At 40.4% G+C, this 19,759-nt stretch overlaps 2 long non-coding RNA genes across 2 annotated transcripts in view; one reads left to right on the top strand and one right to left on the bottom strand.

Moving 5' to 3' along the window:
- Window positions 1-19,759, top strand: part of PLUT (PDX1 associated lncRNA, upregulator of transcription) — a 98,200-nt gene that overhangs the window by 6,343 nt on the left and 72,098 nt on the right. The gene's annotated exons all lie outside the window — the stretch shown is intronic.
- On the bottom strand, window positions 7,352-9,075 carry LOC105370130 (uncharacterized). The gene is made up of 3 exons (XR_941788.2): window positions 9,023-9,075; window positions 8,176-8,281; window positions 7,352-7,434 (listed from the first exon to the last, which is right to left on the bottom strand). It is a non-coding gene; the product is annotated as an uncharacterized LOC105370130 (long non-coding RNA).

Here is a 19,759-nt window from a genome sequence, read left to right as displayed (position 1 = left end):
TGAATACTGAAAACTTTGATTGGGAAGTTCTTATTAAATGTCTGGATCATCTGCTCAACTTGATCTTCCTTCTTGTATCAGCGCTTGCCCCATGCTGTGCTCTCCTGAGAGCCTTCATCATTTGCATTGGAGTCTTGAGACTCAGGAAAGCTCTCTACTGAACAATCTACCTAAAAAGCAGCAGGGAGTGGGCCTAGTTTGATTTGGGTGTTGCACACTTATTTCTTTGCATGTAAGTAGTGATGATTCAGTTCAAGAGCTACGAAATATGCTTTATTTTGAAGAGAGCCATCTTTCCTATAGTGCAGCTGCATGCAACAGCAACTAACTACATTATGCACACACCCACCAAAGAGATTATTGTGACCCGATTCATTTAGATAATTGAAGGGAAAGTAGAGGCTGAGAAGCTTTAAGGATCAAGTTTGTCTTTACTGCTCCAATTTGCCCCCATGGTTGTCAACTGTTTGCTGAGCTTTCAGTACAAACCCTATCATTTTGTCGGAGGTGTTTGAACAAGAGCAACTCCATCTTCAATAGCGCCTGGGTAAAATGAGGCTGAGACTTACTGGGCTGAAGTCCCAAGAGGTTAAGGCATTCTTAGTCACAGGATGAGATAGGAGGTCGGCACAAGATACAGGTTATAAAGACCTTGCTGATAAAATAGGTTGCAGGAAAGAAGCCGGCCAAACCCCACAAAAGCCAAGATGGTGACAGGAGTGACCTCTGGTCATCCTCACTGCTACACTCCCACCAGCGCCATGACAGTTTACAAATGCCATGACAACAATAGGAAGTTACTCTATATGACCCAAAAAGGGGAGGCATGAGTAATCCACCCCTTGTTAGCATATAATCAAGAAATAATCATAAAAATGCAACCTGCAGCCCTCAGGGCTGCTCTGTCTATGGAGTAGCCATTCTTTTATTCCTTTACTTTTCTAATAAACTTGCTTTCACTTTACTCTATGGGCTCACCCTGAATTCTTTCTTGGGAGAGATCCAAGAACCTTCTCTCGGGGCTGTATCGGGACCCATTTCCAGTAACAATTTCACATTAACACATAAGAGATGTGTCTTTAAAGTCAGCACAGGCAGCTGTGTATAATATCAACAATATCTTCCACATATACAAAATTAAATAGTATTATCTTTGTTTCCCAGATTTTATGGCCAGCCTATATATGTAAACTGACCTAATTTCTATTGGTTTTTCTTGGGAAAGAAGCATACGTGGAACTAAAATTCAACTTAGGGGAAGAAAATTTTTTTTTCTTTTTCTACCAGCGGTGTATTGTAAAACACAATCAATCAGTGTCGCCTACTTCATTTGCAAAGCAATTTGTTAGACTCTGCCAACATGGTCACAGTCAAACCTTGAAGTTTCTAAAAGTTAGAGATTGCCATGAATCCAGATAAACAGCAGTGTTTTCTTACCTTCCCAGCAAATTGTGACAGGTGATAACAAAAAGGCAAACAAAAGTTGCTAACCCCTAGCCTGGTGTAATCTGTCTCCTGCCCTGTAATTACACAGAATTGGGATTTTTCTCAAGAAAGTAGAGTGACGTTATTTACCTTTTTGTATTTATATGACTGGTAGCCAAATTTAAATATAGTAGCTAGAGAAATTCAGTAAGGAAAAGTACTGGGAAACATTAGAATTTTCCCCTCTTCCCCTGCTGTGTTTCCTTATGAACCTCTTCCCTGCAAGCCCCAGGTCATTTTTTAAGAGAAAACTGATCTTATGCCATCTACTATTTATAATAGTCTAGGATTTTGGTTTTGATTATTGCTTGATATGAGGAGAGAAAATAACTGGAGATGTTTTCTGTATATTTCAGCTGAAAAAATAATTTAACAAAGTTGATGGTGTTTCAAGAGAGTTTTTTTCAGTATGTTGGGTGAAGAGCCCTGGAGAGGTCTTGAAAACTAGACAGCCACATGGCCTGACCTGTTCCTCATTCTCATGTAATTCAAACTCCGTTTTTCTACAAAGACATACTCAAAAAGAATCAGTTTTGTTCAACTTCTAAGAAAATCAGTAATTAGAGCGATAGAAATAACTAGCACCTTAGCACCAAATTTTGCCTGAAACTCTTACATCTGTCCAGTTCCTAGGTGTTTCACAAATTTTATATCCTTTCTCTTGCTCTCTCCATCCATACGGAGCCTTGCAGCCCACCTTCAGTTTACGGCAAGGAGTCATTATAGTTCTTCGTCATTTGGTGCCCTGCAGAAACACGTTCTTTTCCAACAGATGAGCAAAGGTACGGCTGACTCTCCATATCCCCAGGGGATTGGTTCCAGGACCCCGTCCCACTCCCCCAAAACACCAAAATCCGAGCAGTCGCAGGTTGAAAACGTGAGCTTGGCTCTCTGTATCCTCTGCTTCCGCATCCTCGGATCCAGCCAACTGCAGATTGAAAATAATATGATTGGTTGGATCCCCCCAATGCAGAACCTGCGGATACGGAAGATCAACTGTACTAAAGTCACAGTTATGACTTCGTTGTTTTAGGTAAGTAGCCCTTTGAGATTATAGTGAATGCTATGAATCATTTCTCCAGAAAAACACACACGTGTCTAAGTACACAATATTCTGCATGAGATTTTGGGGAATTCATAACCCCCACCTTCCCTTCCACAGTCCGTCTATCACCTGGAACCAGTCTGTGCCCAGCTTGTACTTTTCATCTCTACTTGTGAATTTTTGGTTGCTGCTACTGTGCACTCCCTGGAACTTTATAACAGTTGCTCCCTTGTAAATATTCACAAGGATCGTTTGTTTATTGGACTGGGGATATTTGTGCTGTACACAGGGGACTTATATGTTGGATAATTGTCGCTCAGTTTTCTTACTGTAATCACCTGCTCCACAAGGGTAATAAACATACTGAAGGTCAAATAGTGAGTTTGGAAGATATGAAATAATAATTCTAAGATTAATTAGAAATTCATAGGCTTACAGATGCTTTGAACTGTGACATTGATCTGTTGCCATAAGTGGTAGTTTGGCTTAAGATTGTTTTTTCCTTCCTTCCCTTGTCTAAATATCTACTCTGTGCCAGGCACTGTTGCCAGGCTTTGGAGATTTAGGAGAATCAGACATGATTTTTACCCTAGGGGCCTTAGATTCTTGTAGTGGGAAGAAAACAAGCAAACACACACACACAGACATACCCCACACAAAGCACACCACACATGCACCATACACATACAACACACACACATCACACAGACACCACACACACAACACACACACAGCACAGCACACACCACACACACCACACACAGCACACACACAACACACACACAAAACACACAGCACACACAACGCATATACAACACACATCACACACCGCACCAAACACACACCACACACATACACACACCATACACACACACCACACACACCACACAAAACACACACACATCACATACCACACACAACACACAACACACATGCATGAACATACACACACAGTAAAAAAACTCTAGATGCCCCCAAAGTGTGGCCCTTCCACCTCTGACTGGAAGCTGGTGAACACGTTACTCACACAGAGGCAGTCTGTCTCCCTTGCGGCCCAGGTTCCAGTTATTTCCTGAAAGCAGTGAGGGTATGCTAGGGCTTCATCACACACTCATAGTTTGACTTTGGACTTTTAGCTGACCTGTGTTTCCAATTTCGCATCTGCTGAATGTCAGCGTGGTAAGTGGTTAAAAGGATGGTCTCTGAAGCTGGCCTGTTCTGGCTTGAATCTTGGCATCACCATTTATTAGTTGTGTAGCCTTGGGGAAGTTTCCTTAACAAAGTTGTTAGACTTTGTTTGGCCTTGGGGAAGTTTCCTGATCTCTTTGTGCTTCAGTTTCCCCCTCTGTAAAGTGGGGATAAAGAAAAGTCTTCCAGCCGGGTGTCAAGGCTCTTGCCTGTAATCCCAGCATTTTGGGAGGCAAAGGTGGGAGGATCCCTTGACCCTTGAGAGTTCAAGACCAGCCTGGGCAACATAGCAAGGCCTCTGTCTCTATTAAAAAAAAAAGATTCGGCCGGGCACAGTGGCTTACGCCTGTAATCCCAGCACTTTGGGAGGCCGAGGCGGGCGGATCACAAGGTAAGGAGATCGAGACCATCCTGGCTAACACGGTGAAACCCCGTCTCTACTAAAAATACAAAAATTAGCCGGGCTGGCGGCAGGCGCCTGTAGTCCCAGCTACTCGGGAGGCTGAGGCAGGAGAATGGCGTGAACCCGGGAGGCAGAGGTTGCAGTGATCCGAGATCACGCCACTGCACTCCAGCCTGGGTGACAGACTGAGACTCCATCTCAAAAAAAAATTCGCCAAAAAAAAAAATTTGCTTGATTCATTGGTTTGCGCCTGTGGTCCTAGTTACTTGGGAGGCTAAGGCAGGAGAATCCCTTGAGCCCAGGAGGTGGAGGCTGCCATGAACTGTAATCGTACCACTGTATTCCAGCCTGGATGAGAGAACAAGACCTCGTCTCAAAAAACAAATGCAGAAATGTCTTCCACATAGAGCTGTACTCCATGAGTTAATATGCGAAAAGCACTTTGAAAAGAACATGTCTAGCACCATGCCAAACTCTTCATTTATTCACATTGGACAAATCTTTGTGTAACACCTATTCTGTGCTAGGGATAGGGGATGCCACGGTAAACAGGTCACTTCTGTTTTAAAGACACATCTCGTCTAGTGAGAGAGTCAGACAACTGGAGAGGAAACTTAATGCAACAAGCTGGTCTCTGTGGCAGAGGTAATGTAGGCTATCATGGGAACACCGTGGCAAGGGTGCACCCCGTAATACGGGAGTGCTTTCCTTCCTGCTTCATTAATTCCCCAGCCTTCAGCTCCTTTAGGATTTTCCTCAGAGAGGTGTTTTTTTTTTAAACAACTTAAAAAAATTTAATGTGGTTAAAAAAACAAACTTTATCATTCTAACCATTTCTAAGTGTGTAGTTCAGCAGTATTAAGTGTATTCACATTGTTGTGTAACCAGTCTCCAGAACTCTTTTCCTCTTGTAAAACCGAAACTCTGTACTCATTAAACTACAGCTCCCATTCTCCCTTCCCCCAGTCTCCTGGCAACTACCTCACAGGGTTTTATAACTTTCACACATGTTCTTCATCACATTAATTTCTCTCATGGGTTCCGCCTGGCTGGAGACTTCCCTCTGGAATAATCTGCCTTTTCCCTTCCTGTGGTTACTGCTATTTTCTGGAATCCTATGAAATCATGAATTTTGTATCTTCTAGAAAATAAACTGCAGTAAATTGAGCAGTGTTCTAGGAACAGGCATGTCGATCCCAGGGCTGATGGCGTTGGCTGAGTGCTCACTGCTTGCCAATCCCTGTGCTCTGCTACGAGGAGGACACTAAGGGGCTGGAAGGCATCAAGAAAGGCTGTGTTTCATGTAAGTTACAAGAAAATGAGAGTGAGGAAGCACACATATACACGTACACACGTCTTAGAAATATTCATATCAGTACCCAACTTGTGCACATGAAGTGCGTCTAAGAGGAGAAGGCAATGCTTTACGAATAGGAATGTGGCTTTAGGAATAGGAATATGGCAACATGAACTATTAACCAGCACATGAGAGAATAAGGTTGTTAGACCAGTTCAGAGGCTGTTAGCATAACTGAGGTATGAAAACATGTAGTCTAGACTCATCATGGAAATGGAGAAAAAGGGAAAAATCCAGGATTTAGTAGGAAGAGACTAAAGGACTTGGCGACCAGTTGAATAGGAAGCAGAGGAAAAGATGTAGATGAGAACCAGTGTTACTTGATAGCTGACTTTGTGCTGGGCCCCGCTCTGGTCCATCAGCCCTTAGGATCTCACTGATATTCTGTAGCATTCTTCTGAGTTAGGGACTATCAACCCCATTTTCCTATTGAAGAAGCGGAGGTTCAGAAAGGTTGATTAGCTTGGCCAAAGTCATCTGATGAGTAGTTGGTTGAGTCATATATTACCCAGAATCTGTCTGACCCCAGGACACATGCTCTTTTATTACTTAAGTGGCTTCAAGGTTGCTAGCCTGGAAGACTGATATGTGGACAGTAGAGGCATGTTGATAGAGGGGGCCAGTTGTCAGGGGAGGGTCATGGTTAGTCCTATTGAACATGCTGAGTTTGCAACGCAGGTGAACAGTGTAAATCCAAGAGGCTCACGGGCATTTGGAAATGAAGGACTGGGGGAGAGAACACAGGGCAGGGCATGTAGACAGCTAAGTGTTCATTCTGTTATTGAAAGACTAAGTGCAAAAAGAAAAGAGAGTGTGGTGGTTAATACTGAGTGTCAACTTGATTGGATTGAAGGATGCAAAGTATTGATCCTGGGTGTGTCTGTGAGGGTGTTGCCAAAGGAGATTAACATTTGAGTCAGTGGGCTGGGAAAGGCAGACTCAACCTCAATCTAGGTGGGCACCATCTAATCAGCTGCCAGCACGACCAGGATATAAAGTAGGCAGAAAAATTTGAAAAGACTAGACTGGCTTAGCCTCCTAGTCTACATCTTTCTCCTGTGCTGGATGCTTCCTGCCCTCGAACATCAAACTCCAAGTTCTTCAGCTTTGGGACTTGGACTGGCTTCCTTGCTTCTCAGCTTGCAGATGGTATATTGTGGGACCTTGTGATCGTGTGAGTTAATACTCCCTAATAAACTCCCCTTTATATCTATCTATCTATCATCTATCTATCTATCTATCTATCTATCTATCTATCTATCTATCATCTATACATCATATTATTTCTATTCCTCTAGAGAATCCTGACTAATACAGAGAGTGATGTGTAAATTCTTGAGGATATACTCACCTAGGGGGCAGAAAGGAGAAAGAGGACTCTGTAAAGTCAGTAAAGGACAGTTCACAGGACTGTCATTTGGTAGGAAAACAGTACATCTGCTTCAGTATGAAAAAAATGTGGCTGTAGGGCTCCAGGTTCCAGATTGTCAGCTATGACTCAGAAAAGTCATTTAAGAGTTCTGAGTAGAAGCCAGGTTGAGGCAGGAGGATCACTGGAGCCCAGCAGTTCAAGGCCAGCCCTGAGCAACATGGCGAGACTCCGTCTCTATTTTTAAAAAGAGTTCTGAGTAGAGCAGTACACGTATCTAATCTCAGTGCAGGTACCACTGTTCACCTCATGTCCTCGACCTCTGTCTTATACTCACATCCTTTAGGTTCTCATTTCCTGCCCATGTTTCCGCTTAAGTAGCTCTCGAACCAGCCCTCCCTTAATGCCCTGGGCCACTGCATTAGTGCAGACTGGGTCTCATCTGGGCTGTTGTGACAGGTGTCCATCAGGCCGCCCGGCTGCCTGCTTCTACTTACCTTAGCACTTGTACTTTTTCACCATTTTTCTTACAACATGTTCTCAATGTAATGATGTTCTCAATCTAAAAATTGATTTTCTTCTACTACCTGGAGAGTAAAGTCAAACTCTTAGCAAAGCTCATCGAGTCCTTCAAGTTTGGGCAGCAGCTCAGCCCTCAGGTGGCTCTTTCCACAGATTCTCTGCTCCCCCAAGCATCACATACTCCAATCAAACAGCCATTCTCGGCATCTCCCAGGGCAGCCTGTCCCCTCAGAAGCCCCTGCCGCTGCCTGGATTAGCATGTTTGATCCTGGCAAACTTCTGTTTGTCCTTCAAAGGCCAAGAAAAGAGCAAATGGGAATGGAGCAGAAAATATTACCCGGTTCAGATTCAGAGCCAAGAAAGAGACACTCATAATCCAGGCAGTTATGATTATTGGAAGATAAATACATAAGAGGAGCCACTTTTTAAAAAACATTCTCTGGCTGGGTGCAGTGGCTCATGCCTGTAATCCCAGCACTGTGGGAGGCCAAGGTGGGCGGATCACCTGAGGTTGGGAGTTCGAGACCAGCCTGACCAACATGGAGAAACCCCATCTCTACTGAAAATACAAAATTAGCCAGGCATGGTGGTGCATGCCTGTAATTCCAGCTACTTGGGAGGCTGAGGCAGGAGAATCACTTGAACCTGGGAGGCCGAGATCATGCCATTGCACTCCAGCCTGGGCAACAAGAGTGAAACTGTCTCAAAAAAAAAAAAAAGTTCTCTTTTGATTTCTCAGTTTGTATTCACTGCTGAGAAGCTGATGTCCACAGAAGAGTTTTCCCCTGTTTCCATTGTCCTCTCACCTGAGAAAAAAAACTTCCTGCTGTCATATCAGTTGTCATCCTTATCCATTGCTCAGGACTTTGTCCACATGATGACATTCTCTGAATAGGACAGCATTCTTAAGGCCTGCATGGTGGATAGGAAGAAGGTTGCCATTCAGTTGTATCCTAGAGTGCAGGATGGGTGGTTAAGATAGGTCCCCAGAAGGCCAGCACACATGGCATGGCGCTGAGATTGAACTCGAAAAATCTGAGAACACTGTGAAAAGCAGAAATGGCCCATCACACTAAGAACCAGAAGATCTGCATTTCAACATTGGCTCTGCTAATTAGTCACTGTGATCAAAAGAGAAGGTGATTTAAAGGTGAGAGTTTGTGTAACATCTTGGACATATAATCCAGCAGCAATTTCTCATGTGGCATCTGGTGAAAGACTCTCCTGACTCCTGAAGAAATGACTTGAAACTCAAGAACCTGTGACCTTAATGAAGAATTAGTTAAGACTGTTGCCCATGGAGATGTTGCTAAGGTGAGAGACTTTGCCAAAAAGAGGGCATGTGGCTGGAGCTATGCTTCCAACTTTAAGCAAGAGGAAGAGTGGGATGGATGCAGGGTGAGATGTCATCAGCCTACCACACTCACACTGGTGAGGAGTGGCTGGGTAAGAGGCAGTGAGGACCGGGAGAAAGAGAGCAAAGAGAGCACGGGTTACAGTGACCTGGGGCCTCTGTCTTGTCTAGGAAATCTCCTTGATTCTTGCAAATGGAGCTAAGTCCCTTCAGCACCATCAGCTGTAGATCCCATCAATTTATAAGCTATGCCTAAAATAAATAAGTAAATAACCAACTATATAAATAAAATGCCACACCTTTGCAATTATGTTTCCTCAGTGCTCAGCACATAGCACGTGCTCAATGTTTGTTGATTCTCCTTCCCGCTTTCTCTTTCTTTCTTTTTATTTCTTTTTCTTTCTTTCTTTCTTCTTTCTTTCTCTTTCTTTCTTCCTCTTTCTTTCTTTCTCTCTTTCTATCTCTTTCTTTCTTTCTTTCTCTCTTTCTTTCTTTGTTTCTTTGTTTCTTTCTTATATTCATAACTTCTGTGTGTCATTCACTATTGTGTAAGTACTGGGGATTTGAAGATGAATTAGACACAGTCACTGTTATTGGTTGTTTTACTGTTTTGAAAAATTATTGTAAAAATGTGATTTATGTACTCATTGCTACTTCCCCCACACATTTTATCCCCTGGGGCAAAACAAGTGCTAGGCTCTGAGGATTGAAAGGGATTTGAAGATCCAAGGTTTAACGGGGGTGAGGAGGCAGGGTGGGGAAAGAAGAGAGAGAAGCAGGAAATAGCTTTTCCAGGGATTGATTTTTAACACCCCCAACCCACATCAATAGATCCTTCAGAGAGCTGGTTAATTATCAATTTTTGTGAGAAAGCAAAGCTGCTTTATTTTTTTAAAGTACTTTGAGCACAAAGCACAGATTATACATGATTTGCCTTCAGTTCACGGAAACATTTGCATTTTGCTGAATCAAATGATTCATCCAGGTCTTCTGCAAGCTCTGTGTGCCCTAATGGTGCAACTGATTTTTTCTTTTATCTTTATCATCTTTTTTGCTTTGTTTCTCTTCCCTCTTTTGTTTTTTATTGGCCTTATTTAAAATTGATGAATATTTCTGTATTTTCCATTTCCCTTCTATGTAGAATTAGAAACTAAAGACTAAACAGCTGCTCTTTTAGTAGTTTCCCTAAATTTCTTTCTTTTCTTTTTCTTTCTTTTTTGAGACAGAGTTTCACTCTGTGGCCCAGGCTGGAGTGCATAAGCCAAGTGCGATCTTGGCTCACTGCAACCTCTGCCTCCTGGGTCCATGCTATTCTCCTGCCTCAGCCTCCCGAGAAGCTGGGACTACAGGCGTGCACCACCATGCCCAGCTAGTTTTTGTATTTTTAGTAGAGATGGGGTTTCACCGTATTGACCTGGCTGGTCTCGAACTCCTGACCTCAAGTGATCTGCCCACCTGGGCCTCCCAAAGTGCTGGGATTACAGGTGTGAACCACCATGCCCAGCCCCTAAATTTCTTTTAGCATCCATTATGATTACAAAGTTTCTAATGGAGTCTAAAGTTACCCAAGACTGCTTCTCTTTCTAGAACAAGACGGGAGTGGTATTACACCTTGCTCATTGAACCAATCACTCTGTTCTTTGCAATTTTTATCTAGAGATTGAGTATCATCTTTTTTAAATCCCAGAATTAGGTTTTTTGATGGTTGATAAATGTTTTGTTGAATATACCAACACATCTTAGTGGTTTCCCATCTCACTCTCTTGCTTTTCTACCCTCCTCTCTGGGGTTACTGTTCTTCAGATGTTCTTTTAATAGTTGTGTGTTGGCCAGGCGCGGTGGCTCACGCCTGTAATCCCAGCACTTTGGGAGGCCAAGGCGGGTGGATCACAAGGGGTTAGGAGTTCAATACCAACCTGGCCAAGATGGTGAAACCCTGTCTCTACTAAAAATACAAAAAAAAAAGAATTAGCTGGGCGTGGTGGCAGGTGCCTGCAATCCCAGCTATTCAGGAGGCTGAGGCAGAGAATTGCTTGAACCCAAGAGGTGGAGGTTGCAGTGAGCCGAGGTTACACCACTGCACTCCAGCCTGGGCGACAGAGTGAGACTCCATCTCAAAAAAAAAGAATAGTTGTGTGTTGGTGTGTAAATGCCCTTAGTCTCTGTAGATGTCAACGTGTTTTGATTTTTCCTTCACAGAATAATGGTCATTGTGCTGGATAGTCTCTGCATGCCTTTCCATATCTGCTTTTCAGCCTTCTCTTTTCTGTCCTGTGCTCTGGGAGGCTGCCTTCATGTCTTGCATTGACAGCCTCTTTCACTTTCTCCTTTACAGTAGGATTTAGTCAATGAGAGGCACCACAAGGAGATCAGATTTGCAGTTGAGATGGTATGGCACACTCATTCCTCTCTGCTCCTCCCCTCTAAGCAGAACTATAAACTCTAGAAACCATATAAGAGACACAAAGGACACCTATGAAAGGTGGAAAGAATACAGACTTGTTGGAGACCCCAGGACAGGAGGAACAGCATAATGGCAGGGCATCTTATGGCTACCCAGCAGAGAGAAAAATGTGACCCAGGCCCTGGAGTTTCCTGACCATTGTTTAGCAACAGAAGGCAGCCCAGGCAGCCTCATTCCTGTGCTGGATCAAGTGGGAGACCCACTGACAACACAAGGTGAGCCCAGAGGCATTAGCAAGTGGGGTAAATCAGAAAATCTACTGACAATAAGTGGCCAGGGGACATGCTCTTCCTTGCTAGGCCAGAGACTCTCCTCACCCACTGAGAGACAGCAGGAGGCAGGACATCTCTGGCCAGGAAAATCTCATCGCAACAAGCAGGCAGCTTGGGAAGGCTTATCATTCCTCTGGGCCTGAGACTTCCCTCCTCAAGGTGGAGGTACCAGGTGGCCCAGTCTAGGGAAGTACCTTCCACCCTTTTAGGCAGCACATACAGAGACAAGCAGAAGTTCTTGTAGCACTAGAATAAACCAAATAGATCAAAGTAACACTGTAAAAGCTCGAAAAATTAATTTGTCCTTGGAACCAAAACCCATAAAAGTAGGTCAGAATCTGTGTGCTAAATCTAAACAGGGTGACTGATTGCTAAAATAAGAGATTTATTATTAATTAATAAATGATAACAATTTGTTAATAAGACCCAGAGATTTATAATATAGATATCAAATGTTAAGGATATATATATATCCTCATGTCTGTATCAGAAGGGATATAATTTTAAAACCACCCATCACGCTAAGAACCAGAAAATCACAACTTGAATGAAAACAGACAATCAACTGGCACCAACACTGAGATGAATCAGATGCTGGAATTATAATATCTGTAAGAATTGTAAAGCAGCAATCATAAAACATTCAACAACGAATTACAGATTCTTTTAAAACAACTGAAAAAACAAAAATTTCATCAAAGAAGTAATTGAAAAAGAACAAACTGGTAATTATATAACTAAAAAACAAAATAATTGAGATAAAAATCTTACTCATTTAACTCAATAGTAGAAGACAGATGACAGAGGATAGAAGGAGTAGAGGACAGACCAATAGAGTTTACATAATCTGAGCAGCAGAGAGAAGAGACTGAAAAGAATGGGTAGAACTTCCAAGACCTGTGAGGCAATAATAAAAGATCCAACACTGGAATCATCAGAATCCCAGAAAGAAAGGAGAAAGAAAGTGGGGCTGAAAGCGTGGAGCTTGAAGAAATAATGGCTGAAAACTTCCTAAATTTGGTGAAATACATAAACCTACAGATTCAAGAAGCCAATTGAACCTCAAATAGAATAAAGTCCCTGCCAAGACACATCATAATCAAACGTCTGAAAACTAAAGACAAAAGCATCTTAAAACCAAAGGAACAAAATGAAAAAAGACATTAATTATAGGAAAGCACCCATTTGGATTTCTCATATGGAACAATGGAGACCAGAAGGAAGTGGTACCACATTTTTCAAGTAAGTGCTGAAAGCAGAGGATCATCAGCCACGAATCCTGCGTCTGGTGAAACTACACTTCAGGAATGAAGAGGAAATAAATGCATTCGCAGATAAAGGAAAACTAGAAGAATGAGCAGATCTACCTTAAAAGAATGGCTGAAGGAAGTTCTCAAGCAGAAAGAAAATAATAAAAGAAGGAATCTTGGAATATTAGGAAGGAAGAAGGAACAATAGAGGAAAAATATGGATTCATCCAATTGACTATTCTTCTCAGGAATTTCTGTTTATTTGTTTATTTTTTTGAGACAGTGTCTCACTCAGTCACTCAGGCTGGAGTGCAGTGGTGCAATCGTAGCTCATTCCAGCCTCAAACTCCTGGGCTCAAGCGATCCTCTTGTCTCAGGCTCCTGAGTAACTAGGGCTACAGCTGTGTTCCACCACACCCAGTTAACTTTTCATTTTTTGTAGAGATAGGCTCTCCCTATATTGCCCAGACTATTCTCGAATTCTTGGGCTCAAGTGATCCTCTTGCCTTGGCCTCCCAAAGTGCTGGGATTGCAGGTGTGAGGCACTGTGCCTGAATCTTCTTCTCAGGAAATTTATAAATCATATTTGATGCTTGAAACAGAAACATAACACTGTCTGGTACTAGAGACAATAATATTTAAGAGTGTGGAAGGGAAAGGAACTTAAATGGAAGAGTGGTTTTCATACCTCACTCCAAATGATAGAACAGCAGCCCCAGCTACTTGGCAGGCTGAAGCGAGATCACTTGACCCCAGGAGTTTGAGGCTGCAGTGAGCTACGATTGCACCACTGCACTCCAGCCTGGGTGACAGAGTGAGACACTGTCTCAAAAAAATAAACCAATAAACAGAAATTCCTGAGAAGAACAGTCAATTGTATGTATCCATATTTTTGCTCTGTTGTTCCTTCTTCCTTCTTAACACTCCAAGATTCCTTCTTTTATTATTTTTTTTCTGCTTGAGAACTTCCTTTAGCCATTCTTTTAGGATAGATCTGCTAGTTCTTCTAGCTTTCCTTCATTTGCTAATGCATTTATTTCCTTTTCATTCCTGAAGGGTAATTTCACCAGACAGAGGATTCATGGCTGATGAGCCTCTGCTGTCTGCACTTGAAAAATGTGGTGCCACTTCCTTCTGGCCTCCATTGTTTCAGACAAGAAATCCAAATTGGAGTTTTCCATAGGTAATGTGTCTTTTTCTTCCTTTGTCTGGTTTCAAGATTTTTTTTTTTAATTTTACTTTTCAGAAGTTTGATTATGATGTCCCTTGGCCAGGACATCTTTAGATTTATCCTATTTAAGTTTCAATTGGCTTCTTGAATCTGTAGGTTTATGTCTTTCACCAAATTTGGGAAGTTTTCAAACACAGCTTGATAACATAGACATCATAGTGAGATCCTGTTCTAAAAAAATAAAATAAAATAAAACCAGGAATGATGTCACACACCTGTAGTTCCAGCTACTCAGCAGGCTGAGGCAGAAGGACCACTTGAGCCCAGGAGTTGGAGGCTACAGTGAGGTATGATTGTGTTACTGTACTTTAGCCTGATGGCAGAGTGAGACCCTATCTTAAAAACAAAAAACAACAACAGAAAAGTAAAATACTGATACCAGTGGAGAGTGATGACTCACATATGTATATTGTAATACCCAAAGCAACTAATAAGAAAACTATAAGAGAGATATACTAAGAAATGCTGTAAATAGAATCCTAAAGATGGAATATGAAAAAAATCTTCAAGTAACCTGTAGAACAAAAAAAAAAAAAAAAAAAGAAAAAGGAAAACAACAGAAAATAAAATAAAATAGGAAAATAGGCCGGGCATGGTGGCTGACACCTGTAATCTCACTGTTTTGGGAGGCTAGGCATGAGGATGGCTTGAGGCCAGGAGGTCAAGGTTACAGTGCACTATGATCATGCTGCTACACTCCAGCCTGAATGACAGAGTGAGAAAAACAAACAAATAAAATGGCAAACTTAAGTGCTAATATATTAATAGTTACTTTAAATGTAAATTGTTAAAATTCATCAACTAAAAGGTATAGATGGGCAGAGTGAATTTAAAAAATCACTAAACTATATGTTGTTTACAAGAAACTAGCTGAAAATTCAGCAGCACAGGTAAGTTAAAAGTAAAAGGTAAAAAAAGATACGATGCACACGTTAATAAAAAAAGAAAAGAAGATATAGCTCTATCAATATCAGATAAAGTAGACTTCATAATAAACTACTAGAGACAAACAAGGATATGACATAATGAAAAAGGATCAATACACTAAGAAGAGACAACAATCCTGAATTACACGCAGCAAACAACAGAGCCTCAAAATACAAGAAGCAAAAACTGAGAGAGCCTAAAGGAGCAACAGACAAATCCACAATTATAGTTGGGGATAGTAACACCCTACTTTCAATAGCTGTCAAAACTACCGGATGGAAAATCAGCAAGGTATAAAAGATAAAATATGGGCTGGGCACGGAGGCTCACTCCTGTAATCCCAGCACTTTGGGAGGCTGAGGCGGGTGGATCACCTGAGGTCAGGAGTTCAAGACCAGCTTGGCCAACATGGTGATCAACCCTGTCTCTACTGAAAATACAAAAATTAGCCGTGCATGGTGGCGGGAGCCTGTAATCCCAGCTAGTTGGAAGGCTGAGATAGGAGAATCGCTTGAACCCGGGAGGTGAAGGTTGCAGTGAGCTGAAATCACGCCATGGCACTCCAGCCTGGGCAACAAGAGTGAAACTCCATCAAAGAAAAAAAAGATAAAATATGAACAACACAGTAAACGGGTTATCCACTGTATAATTCCATTTGTATAATATTTTTAAAATAACAAAGTTATAGAAATGAGATTAGTGGTTTCCAGGGTTTAGGAGGGTGAGAGGGGTGAGATGCAGGGGAATGTGGTTGTAAAAAGGCAGCAAGATGAATCCTTGTGGTGTTGGAACTGTTCTGTACCTTGACTGTGGTATTGGATACACAAAGCTATGTGATAAAATTACACAGACATAAATACACAAGCGCACACACACATACACACACACGACAAATGAGAAACATAACCAGAAGAATTTGAACAAATTTAAATTCTACTGTGAAATTAAAAGTTTAAATTTGAAAAGGCAATCAGATTGAGAGATTGAATAGAGGATACTTATTTTTCCTTGCTTTGTCTCAGTGGATTGCTGAATCCCTCTAAATGGTTATACTTCTTTTCCTGGAGTTGACTCTCTCTTGTAGTTTTTATTTGGGTTCTTTTTTTTTTTTTTTGATGAAGTCTCGCTTTTGTCGCCAGGCTGGAGTGCAGTGGCATGATCTCGGCTCACTGCAACCTCTGCTTCCTGGGTTCAAGTGATTCTCCTGCCTCGGCCTCCCAAAGTGCTGGGATTACAGGCGTGAGCCACTGTGCCCAGCCTTTTTGGGTTCTCTTTAAGCCTAGAATTGTTATAGCTTCTCATTATAGCTAACTTTGCACTGCTGTATCGTCCCTTGTTGTACATCTTTAGTTAAATTTATTCTCAGTTGATTTATTGATGTTTGTTGCTATTGCAAATTGCATCTTTTTAAAAATCCATTTTGATTGCTGTTACTGGCTCTTGTACCTCTCTATTTTATGGTGCTGTGGATGTAATAAATGCTTGATACATTTTTGTTTATTCAAAAATTTATTTCTAGAATTTTTGAACAGTATTAGAAACCATTTACTAATCAAAGTGCTTTAAGAAAGTGAATGAGAGTGGATAAATTTTTAAATTCTGGCTATAATGTGGGAATTAGATTCATATACAAAGTTAATGATATTTCTTTGTGCTGATTCTTAGCACAATAGAGAAGAAAAGAAGAATAAATCTTTTCTTTTCTATCTAGAAATAAAATAGGGTCACTGTATGACATGGCTCATCATTATATTTGCTCAGAGAAACTACAGGTCAAAGTTTACCTCCCAGAATAGTGTCTCAAGACTCATTGTTAAGACACACTGGTGTGGCTGGGCATGGTGGCTCACATCTATAATCCCAGCACTTTGGGAAGCCAAGGTAGGATGATTGATTGAGACCAGGAGTTTGAGACCAGTCTGGGCAACATAGCCAGACCCCATATCTACAAAAAATTTTTTTAAAAAATCCAGGTGTGGTGGTGCATGCCTGTGGTTCCAACTTTACAGCAGGCTAATGTCGGAGGATCACTTGAGTTCAGGAGTTTGAGGTTGTAGTAAGCTGTGATCATACCACTGAACTCCAGCGTGGGTGACAGAGTGAGACCCTGTCTCAAAAAAAGACACATTGATGGGTCTCAATTTTCTTATAAAGTCACTCTCACTTTCTTGATTTTTAGTGTGCCTTAACAATGAGAAAATTCTTTTGCCTTAAATTGCACGTAACACTGCATGTTCTCAAGGGATGCATATTCTCATTGTGTCATGTATATGAATATTATAAGTCTTGTGTGTCACGGGATGGGGGGGAGAATATTCTGTGCAAAGAGTAACCAAAAGAGAATAAGGGAGTCTATATCAAAATCAGGCAAAATAGACTGTAAGTCAAAAAGTTATAAGAGAAAATGAAGACATAAAAGTTTCCATACAGCAGGAAGGTATAACAATTATAAAAATTTATGTACCTAATAACAGACCATCAAAATATATGGAGCAAAAATTAACAGACTTGGAGGGAGAAATAGACAGTTCTACAATAATGGAGACTTCCATGCCATACTCTCAGTAGTGAATAGGACAATTAGGCAGAAGATAAGTGAGAAAATAGCGGACTTGAATAGCACAATAAACCAAGTAGATTTAGCAGATATACAGGACACTCAATCAACAACAGAATATAAATTCTTCCCAAGTGCACATTGAACACTCTCTAGAACAGACCATAGGGTAGGCTACAAATTGAATCTCAATAGATTTTAAAGGACATATGTCATGCAAAATATCTTCTCTGACCACAATAGGATGAAGTCAGAAATCAATAACAGTAGAAAAACAGAAAAATTCACAAACCTGTGGAAATAAAGCAACATACTCTTAAACGTCAATGAATTAAAGAAGAAATCACAAGGGAAACTAGAAAACACTTAGAGATGAATGAAAAATGAAAACACAACATAGCAAAAATTTATAGGATAAAGTGAAAGCACTGCTAAAGGGAAATCTATAGCTGTAAATATTTACATTAAAAAAGAAGGAAGATCTCAAATAAGCAATGTAACATTAGAAAAAGAACAAAGTAAACCTAAAGCTAGCAGAATGAAGGAACTAATAAAGATAGAGATAAATAAAACAATTAACAGAAAAATAACAGATAAAATCAAGAAAACCAAGGGTTGGCTCTTTAAAAAGTCAACAAAATTGACAAACCTTTAGCTAGACCAACCAAGAAGAAAGAGAGAATAGTCAAAATTACTGGAATCAGAAATGAAAATGAGGATATTACTACTGATTTTACAGAAATAAAAAGGATTGTAGGAGAACAACTGTATACCAAGAAATTAGATAACCTGAATGAAATGGACAAATTCCTAGAAAAACACAACCTACCAAGGCTAAATTAGGAAGAAAGTCTGGATAGACCTCTAATTAGTAAGGAGATTAAATCAATAATTAGAAATTTACCAAAAAAAGAAAAGTCCTGAACCAGATAGCTTCGCTGGTGGATTCTACCAAATATTAAAAAAAAAAAAATCCTTCTCAAACTCTTCCAAAAAGTTGAAGAGAAGGGGACACTTCCTATTTCATTCTGTTAGGCCAGCAAGACCCTGATACTGAAGCCAGCAAATCCACTACAAGAAAAGAAATCTATGGACGAATAACTCTTATGAATGTTGATGTTAAAATCCTCAAAAAATACTGGCAAACTGAATTCAGCAACATATTAAAATACTTATATACCATGTGGAATTTTTGGAATGCAAGGATGGCTCATTTCATTAATCTGAAAATTAATCAGTGTAAAACACCGCAGTAACAGAATAAAGAGAAAAAAATCCTACGATAATCTCAATCAACGTGGAAAATGTATTTAAAAATTCAACAGACTTTCATGATAAACACACTATAAAAACCAGGAATAGAAGGAAACTTCAATATAATAAAGGCCATATTGAAAAAAAAAACCTCACAGCTAATATCATACTCAATGGTGAAAGACTGAGTGCTTTTCCCTTAAAATCAGTAATGAGGCAAATATGCCTGCTTTTGCCACTTCTATTCAACATAATATTGGAAGTTCTAGCCAGAACAATTAGTCAAGAAAAAGAAAGAAAAGCCATCCATTGAAAAGTAACAAGTAAGATTACCTTTGTTCAGATAGATAGGTCGATGACATGATCTTATATGTCATTCCTCAAAAACACTTTCTGAGCTAATAAATGAATCCAGCAACATTGCAGGATGCAAAACCAACACCGAAGAAAGAAGTTTCATTTCTAGGCACTAACAATGAACAATCCAAAAAGGAAATTAAGAAAATAATTCTATTTACAATAGCATGAAAAGAATAAAATATTTAGGAATAAACTTAAGGGGCAAAAGACTTGTAAACTGAAAACTACAAAACATTGCTGAAAAAAATTAAAGAACATAAATAAATTGAAAGACATCCTATATTCATAGATTGGAAAACTTACTATTATTAAGACAGCAACATGACATAAAAGCGATATACAGATTCAACACAATCCCTGTCAAAATCCCAAGGAAGATTTTTGCAGGAATATAAAAAGCCATCCTAACATTCATATGGAATATCAAGGGACCCAAATAGCCAAATTAATCTGGAAAAAGAACAAATTTGGAGGACTCATTCTTCCTCATTTAAAAACTTACTATAAAGCAACAGTTATCAAAACAGTGTAGAACTGGAATAAAGACAGATATATATACCAATAAAATAGAATAGAGAACCCAGAAATAAGCCCTTGAATATACAGTAAATGATTTTTGATGAGAGTGCCAAGATTATTCAGTGGGAAAAGGACAGCCTTTTCAACAAACGGTGCTGGGAAAACTGGATATTCATGTTCAAAAGAATGAAGTTAGGTTTTT

Source organism: Homo sapiens, chromosome 13 (genome assembly GCF_000001405.40).
Source record: "Homo sapiens chromosome 13, GRCh38.p14 Primary Assembly".
NCBI classification, from domain to species: domain Eukaryota; kingdom Metazoa; phylum Chordata; class Mammalia; order Primates; family Hominidae; genus Homo; species Homo sapiens.
The sequence above is the reverse complement of the archived record's forward strand: the minus strand, read 5'-3'. Positions and strand labels throughout refer to the sequence as shown.